This window comes from Homo sapiens, chromosome 3, assembly GCF_000001405.40.
Source record: "Homo sapiens chromosome 3, GRCh38.p14 Primary Assembly".
NCBI lineage: Eukaryota > Metazoa > Chordata > Mammalia > Primates > Hominidae > Homo > Homo sapiens.
Genome location: NC_000003.12, coordinates 154,651,473 through 154,660,419, shown reverse-complemented (window position 1 = coordinate 154,660,419; position 8,947 = coordinate 154,651,473). Strand labels below are relative to the sequence as shown.

At 37.7% G+C, this 8,947-nt stretch overlaps 2 pseudogenes; one reads left to right on the top strand and one right to left on the bottom strand.

Moving 5' to 3' along the window:
- Positions 1 to 2,656: 2,656 nt before the first annotated feature.
- Positions 2,657 to 3,164, bottom strand: DYNLL1P5 (dynein light chain LC8-type 1 pseudogene 5; annotated as a pseudogene).
- SYPL1P1 (synaptophysin like 1 pseudogene 1) lies at positions 8,045 to 8,747 on the top strand (annotated as a pseudogene).

The following is an 8,947-nucleotide window of genomic DNA, read 5'->3' as shown; positions in this document are numbered from 1 at the left end:
AATAAATTCTGTCTAAAGTTGATAAATTAATCTGGCAAGTATAATGCAGCTTTCACTGACACATGGATTTGCTAAAAGCACCTTTTAAAAATATTACTCCCATGTCAAGAAATTACAATGGATCCTACTGGCCCCCGATTTTGGTGGGCAATAACTGTTTCTATTTCTTTTGATTTCTTGAGGTCTACTAAGTTATCTATGTCTGCATGTGTGTTTGGGGATGGGGGGTGTAGAGGGTGTGATTGTGGGCATGTGCACACACTGACAGGAGAGCCAAGGAAGAGAGATAGCAGAGGAGCTGGGCTTCTCGAGGGTGAAGGCTATATCCCAGCTAGACACCATCTTATTAGACTTAACTATGGAGGGGAAAGGAAACTGAAAAGGCAACCACTGTACTTGTATCTACTAGGGTGAGCTCTGATTCTGTTTATGTATTTAGCTACTTGGTTTTCAAAGATTTCTATCAGTTGAACACATCCATACAATGTCCAGAATTAACCTATATTACCCCAAAAAGACTGACCCTGTGTAGCTGTAGGTGTTTTGAAAATACCTGTCCACACAGATATACACATGTCCCAGCCACAGCTCTGCATACCTATACCTCAGCCCTGGCCCCTGCCTGGATCTGTTGTCTACAGGCCTCCTGCCAGTCAAAGCAGAAGCTCTGACTCTGCTTCTCCCCAACCCCACCTCCCACCCCCACCACCTGAGACCCTGTAAGAAGACCACTTACTTTGGCCAAGACAAGTATGGGGCCTGGTCTCAGCCATACCACTGCTGCCTCATGTCTGTGTACACTATCAATTAAAGTGCATTTGTTTCTGCGTTAGTCCGTTTCTGTGTTACTATAAAGAAATACCTGAGACTGAGTGATTTACAAAGAAAAATTGTTTAATTGGCTTAATCGGCTCATGGCTCTGCAGGCTCTACTAGCATGGCACCAACATCTGCTTGGCTTCTGGCAAGGGCCTCTGGAAGTTTACAGTCATGGCAGAAGCTGAAGCAGGAGCGAGAGCATCACGTGGAGAGAGCGGGAGCAAGACACCAAGGAGGGAGGTCCCTTGGTGTCTTGGATTAAATCCCTTGGATTAAACAATCAGATCTTGCATGAACTGAGCAAGAACTCACTTATCACTAAGGGGATGGTCCTAACTCATTCTTGAGATCCACTCCCATGATCCAATCATCTCCCACCAGGCCCCACTTCCAACATTGGGGATCACATTTCAACATGAGATTTGGAGGGGACGAACATCTAAACCATATCAGTTTCTTAATGAAAAAAATGTTCACTCAAGTAACTGCAGGTTGCTTTACACCTAATCATCATCACCTGGAAAAGAACTAGATTCATTCTGGTAGAAAAGACATAGCCAAGGGTAATTTAATATGATTTTAGTATATTCTTAATGCTTACTCAGAGATTGATAACCTAAGATCAAACCAGTTTCAGTGTATCCAGTCTCAGACAAATATTGATTTAAAAAATGTTTTTAAAGTAATGTGTAATCACCTTTTGTGAATATCTTTAAAAGAACATGTGTTGGCGGTGCTCAAGTCTGGTCCTATCTGAAGTCAGGCTGACAGAGAGGACAGGACCACAGTGACAGTTTTCTTAACTTACAGCCCAGGTCCCTTACATCTTACTGTAGTTCTGTGCATTCAGGACAAGCTTAGGATGAAATGATAATGTTCCCAAGTTTAATGAGTTCAGAATGAACAGATTTATAGGTATTTCAGATTGGCACTGTTTGCGGTGGGTGTAAGAATAGGATGACAGATGTGTTTGTTATAAGATAAAAAGTTTTAGCTGAATGCATGAATTTAGTAATTATAAGACTTTGAAGTATTCTTTTTATTTAGTATATATAGTTATATATAGTTCATTTAGAGATACACTTTTTACAAAGCCTTGAAATAATTCCTAAGAAGCTCAGATTCAAGCCTCTGCTTCATTACTCAAAGGTCTCCATGTTGGAGGTTTCTGACATCATCATTATTAAAACCTGGCATTGTTTCTAACATCTGGGCTGTATAAAGGGAAAATAAAAGGCATTATGGAAACTATCACTGAAGCCACTTTTTAATTAATGTTTAAACAAACCAACAAACACACACATAGCAGGGTTTATACTGGAGTGTCTGACTGCTATTTTTCATTCTGTTCTTTGAACCTTGTTTTTTTCTTCTCTAATCACTGAACCATAATTCATCAGCACTACAAGGATGAATTTCACTGCAGTTACATTTCCTCCTGAGGAAAAACAAATAGCTCACTGTGGCTATGACACACTTGATCTACAGTGCTTTGGCATATAAATTTTTGTTTTGTAAAAATAAAGCTTCCATATACCAATTTTTACATCAAAATTCATTAAGGCTAATATTTATTCATTTATTCATTCCCCATGTATTTATTAGCTACCAAATGCCAGATGCCTTATCAAGCACTAATATTCAATGATTAGCATATACATGTTCTAGCCCGAAAATTATATGTAGCATTTATTATTGAAATTCTTGACTCAGTTACAAGCCAACAGGAAGATTAATTTATTCTTTTTTTCATATCTGCAACAGATTTATTTTTTTTAAGGAATGGATTTTGAGACCAAAAACGTGGGGCAGAGAAGGTTAGAATAGAAAATAAATACATATGTAAGCTGTTTTGTTAATTATTTTATAACCACAACAAACTAGTACAGATAATGCCCCAAACAAAACACAATAAAGCTTCAAAAAAGAAGTGTTCCCTTAGCACAGCTGGATATTCCAGTCTCTGGTATTTGGAATTTAGGCTGCAATCCTTGTTTTTGGATAGATCACCGGATGTGTGGCACAGGCCATGCTTTTAACCAGATTTGAACAAAAAAATAGCCAGCTGGCCCAGGTAGAAGTAGATGAAGTGTTTGGCTTCACGTGTGACAGAATTGCCTAGGCTCCCCCACATGATGCAATACCGGATGGGATTGTACTTCCTGTCAAATTTCTTCTGGATATGGGCCACAATGTCCTTTTCTATGACATATGTCTCCAGTGCCTGAGTAGCACATTCCACTGAGTCCTGTTGCATTTATTCTAACGTGTCCACATTTTGCATTTTTCATCATGTGGTTACCATGGAGCAGGAGGTTGTCCACTGCAAAAGTCTCCTGGGGGAGATGCTGGGTATCCTGGGAAGGTGCTAGCATGGCTTAGGCCCAGTGGGAGCATCTCAATTTATTCTTATGAATATATATATATAGCACACATGTATACATAACTGGCTTTAGCTACTGGTGTCCTTTCTATTGCTGGGGGCTCTCAACTACAAATGTCAGCTGTAAGTGTGGGAGACAGACTTTTGTAAATCCCACAAATAAAGACAATATAATTGTAATGTAGATGAGTGCTACAAGGAATGGCATTTGAGTTGCCATAAGACTATAAAAGAAAGAGAGAACAACTTGCCCCAGGAAGTGGATTTTTTACATTATAAACTGAAGAATAAGCAAGGAGTTAAGAAGGGAAGGGGTGAAAAAGAAATTTGAGCCTGAGGGTGCAGCACCTGCACAAGTTTCATGGTAGAGGGGAAAATAACGCCTTCCAAGACCTGAAGGCAGTTTGGTATGGACAGGGACAGAATGAGAAAATGATTTGAGAGAGCATCTGGGGAGTCAAAGAATAAAGCACATTTGCTGCTTACTCATACTCTTCTTCACATGATTCCAGAGTTTGGAGTCATCTGTAGCATAGAAGACAGTTACACAGTTTGTCAGCTGGAGTTTCTGGAGAGAGTTTTGCAAATGTGTCTCTATCCAACTGGAGTATGAGCAGGCTCATAAAAAGTGACGGCCATTGTCCTCAAACTTTCCTCCATTCCCCTAAGCCAAAATTGGAGATGCAGGGGATTTTGCGTTCCTTAAGAAAAACAGAGTTAAACCATGTCCTTAATCACCAGTTGTCCCCTATCACAGCACCATCTCTCCCCCCACGTACACATCAGGCCACTCAGCATGGCAGAATAAGAGGAGTAAGCCTTATCCCAAGCTTCTCTGAGGTGTTGGGCCATCTACTGTTGTTCATTGGACTGAAAAAGCTAGTTGACCTCCAGGACATCAATGCCACCAGCACCAAACAGCAAAGCCTTGAGGATACCAGCTATTGGAGTTAGCTATGGGTATGTCTCTCTCTCTATCTCTCTCTCTGTGTGTGTGTGTGTGTGCATGCATGAGCATGTGTGTGTGTGAATAAATTGACCTTTCTGTTTGCTCACAACAGAAAGAATGTCAAGACTACGTGCTATATATAATTGTGATTAAAGAAGTCTGTTAGATGTATTAATAAGTTGTTTAATATCTTCCCATCTGTCTGCTGGAATGCAAACTCACCTAAACATAGGGACCATGTCTTTCTCATTCATCACTGTAGTCCAGTAGAGTGCCTTGCATGTAGTAATCACTAAAACATTTTTTCTGTTATTAAAAGAATGTTGTCATTCCTCTGTTGGGGGACAGTGAAGGAAGAGCATATGTGAAGGGAAAGATCAGAGACCTGGAGCTCCTAGGACAAATATGAACCCTGGTTGTGAAATAGAATTATTGAATTAAGGCTGCATTTTGAGGGATTGAATAAGATTGCAGAAGAAGAAAAGATAAAGTGAGATAAGATAGACACAAACATAAAAACAATATTCTGAGTCTACTACAGTAAATAAAAGAACAAAGAAATCTGGGGCAACCAAAAGAAAAGGAATTTCCTTGGGGGCATGTAGGGTAGGTTAAAGTGGTCTAGGAAAGTGAAAGTGTTACAAGTAGATGTTGCAAGTAGAGCAAAGGCTATTGGCAAAGGCAAGGAGTGAGGAGGATGAAAATAGTTTTGTTTGAGTGTGTGTGTGTGTGTGTGTGTGTGTATTAGTTCAGTGTTATGAGAAGCAAAAAGTCAGGCAGAGGATGAAACAAATAGTAGGACCAAGAATGCCAAGCCAGGTCTGTGCTTTAGTTGTATTATCAAGATGTAATGTGGAGGCTGAATTTAAAGAATGACCAACAACAGGGAAGAAATTATATGATGAACGGGGAGATGGAAATAAATGCTGGATAGGAGAGACAAGAACCAGAATCTTGAGTAATTTTTTTTTTTTTTTTTTTTTTTTTTGAGACGGAGTCTCGCTCTGTCGCCCAGGCTGGAGTGCAGTGGCGGGATCTCGGCTCACTGCAAGCTCCGCTTCCCGGGTTCACGCCATTCTCCTGCATCAGCCTCCCAAGTAGCTGGGACTACAGGCGCCCGCCACTACGCCCGGCTAATTTTTTGTATTTTTAGTAGAGACGGGGTTTCACCGTTTTAGCCGGGATGGTCTCGATCTCCTGACCTCGTGATCCGCCCGCCTCGGCCTCCCAAAGTGCTGGGATTACAGGCGTGAGCCACCGCGCCCGGCCTTGAGTAATTTTTATAATAACCCCTTTAGTGACTTTGGCAGATATTTAAGAAAAGAGTGAATAAATGACTGAATCTATCAAACAACCAATTCATCAATGTATTAATGACAAAACTTACGTTTAGGAGCTTATACAGCTAGAAGAAAAATGATAGAATTGCTGGGGGTTAAAACAAAAACTGTAGATACTTTAAATGAAAGAAAAAATATACATTTAAATTGTCATACATGCAACATATAAATTATCTATAAGAACTTTCTTTTCTTTTCATGTTTTCAGCCATGGAGCAAAGTGGCTAGGGAGTACTTTTGTGACTTTACAAAATAGGATATTCAAAAGCATTGAAATCATGTAGATCAAATTTTGTTTCCTTAGTAACTCTTTCACTTGTATTTGTGAAATTTTCAATCTAATGGCTGTAAGACTATTGAATTTCAAATATAGTCAGATCCCTACGGTTACATTTAACCCAAACTTGTTATTATAATTCTTATTTTCTAAAAAATAGAATTGACCATAACCCTATGTTGCTATAAGTGCCTATCATAATAATGTATAAGACAATATGATGTATTTTATACATCCTAATGTATAAGTGCAAAACATGTTCCTTGAGTTTGGCATAGAATCTTTGGTGTGTCTAACAGATATTTTGCAATTTTGCTTCCATTAATGTGTTCACCTTTATTCCTAACCTATAGCCAGAAAGTTAAACTTGCTCTAAGGCCCAGAAAAAGTAAAAATATAAAGTCATGTAGCTAGTGAGTGAAGGAACCAGGACAAAAACTGTTTAGCTTTACTATTGTTCTATTACCATGCACTACCATTGTGCTCATAACATTACAGTTTTGAATAAAATTAGATTAATTGAAAAATAAATACTTAATTTATCACTCTTCAAAGCTGCTCTGGAATCTGGCCTGATTTTAATCATGAATATGTTTGTGTTTTATTAATATTGCATCATACAAATGAGCATTTATTATGCATAGCACTTCAGAGCTTTGCTCTTTTGGAAATTTTTTAAACCTTCCTTAGAGTTATTTACCTAAGGCAGATGGCCTTCTCTGGCCTTTCTTTTTAGTGTAAGATTGTTTGATCTAAGGTAATGAGAAGTATCCCTTTGAGGTATGAAGTCTATTTTACACAAGATAGAGGCATATATCAGAGGCAGGTTTCAAGATTTTAAATTGTGTTTGGTCAAATAGCTTGTACATGATAGACATTTATTGGTTGGCTGGTTTATTGGTAAATTTATCAATTGATTAAAATACAAATTGAATGCATTTATAATCTAGGTAAATCAATGAAATAAAATATATATGGCCAAAAATTAGAAATGATCAGCCATGGAATCGCAAGTTTTACAACTTTCACTTTTAAAAACTGAAATTTTAAGTGTTCAATTTAATTCATAATGTGGAATGATGCTTGAAATGGCTCTTAAGAGAAGGAACACTAAATTAACTAATTTTTTAAATGAATATTTATTGAATAAATGAATTGTATAAATATTTCTTTGCTATAGCGCTTTTAAATTCTAATTAGTTTCAATTCAAGTTTTATGGTGAATTGTAGAATATAATGTCTATAAGATATATTACAAATCATCTATGCAAAATATTTAATTTTTTAGATTAAAAAAATGGCCTACAGGGTTAAAAAAAAGGCCTGGGGGATGGGGGTTAAAATGATGCCTTCGATATTTATTCCAAACTAAGTTAGGCATGATTTTATAATCCACATTATATACATATATTAATCAATATTAACTGTGGTGGTTAATTTTGTGTGTCAACTTGGCTGGGTGATGTTGCTCAGATATTTGATCAAACATTGCTCTGGATGTTTCTGTGAGGATGTTTTTGGATGATATTTACGTTTAAATTGGTGGGCTTTCAGTAAAGCAAACTGCCCTCCATAATATAGGTAGGGCTGATCCAAACAATTGAAGGCCTGAATCAAACAAAAGGTTGATATCCCACAAGACAGAGGAATCTTTCAGCAGGATACCTTTGAACTTCATTTAAAACATCATCTTTTCCTGGCTCCACAGATGACTGCCTTTAGATTTGAATTGCAACTCTTTCCTAACACTCCTGCCTACCAACCTCTCCCATCTGATTTTGGACTCACCAAGCCTCCTAATTAGGTGAGCCAATTCCTTAAAATAAATCTCTTTCTATATAGATGCATGTCCTATTTGTTCTGTTCCTCTTGGAGATTCCTGGCTAAAACACTAACGTTTTATTTAATAATTTTAGAAGCCATTTGTTTTTAAAGATTTCATTCATGTTATCCAGATAGAATCAAAAGAGGGTCAATAGTAACTGAAAAGGAACTAATTGCTTCCCAAAATAGTAGTCAGGAAATTGGGTGCTAAGCACACACCTCTATCTTTTCTTGGCTGAGTGGTCTTTGATAAATCTTTTAATTACTTTGCACCTGTTTTCTCACCTACTACTCTATTTGCACAATTCAAGATGTTTTCACACCTATCATATTGTTAAGCAGCCTAGAGAGAGAGCAAGTTGCTTGTATATTTAGGTTAAAAATGAGGAAAATAGGGGTCTGTCCTACAGACCTTCCCTCCCCCTGGCTATCCTTACTCACCTTCCTTCCCTCAGAGGATGCCCACCTTCCAGATCAGCCTCAACCCTCAAAGAGCTGCTTGACTTCGATATTCTCCAACAGATCATTTCCATCTGTGCTTTTGCCACTTGTGGAGATTTTAAGGACAAAACTGATATTTGAATAAGTTATTCTCCTAAAATTACTGACATTAAAACAATTACTGCTATTTTTTGGTTATCCATTCAGGTTGAATCAGGCATCATTTCAGTCACCTCCAGATGTAAATGTGTGTGATGTAAATTGGAAAAGTCATGTCTTTATAGGAGGTTGCTCTTCTTCTGCACAATTCTGTCTTATATTTGTAGTCTTTGTCTTCTTGCATTGCATTTCTGCTCTTCTGCTTTATGTTGGTTACATGAACACATATGGGCATAGTGAAAAAAAAAAAAAACCTTTCCATAACTGACTTTGTTGCAGCTCTTTTTGCCACTTTTTGAGGTTAGTGAGCCTTTCAACCTAGGCTAAAGCTCTTACAAATGCTGAAATAGCTACCAGTCACAATAATGTTCAGGAACATCTGCCTTGCAATCAGCGAAGAGTAACATGTTCATTTGGCTCTATGACTACCATGGGGTCCCTAAATGGATCTGTGATCTTTGGCTTTAGGGAGGAAATGCTTCGTTTTTGTACAAAGAGACCAGTTTGCACAGTCCATCAAATACTTCTGCTTCTCCTAGCCAAAGAGATATTCTATCTCCTGCCAGAATATAAAGGGAGAAATACATTTATGAAATATATTTTTGTGCTATGTCTTGTTGCCAACATCTTGCATTATTTGTTTCTAATAGGAGTAATGGCTTTTCAATAAATTGATGAGTTTAAAGTTTTGCTTTTTTTTTAACATGAATCCTGTGCCTTTCCTAGAAATTTAAGGTATAAATGTATTCTTACAT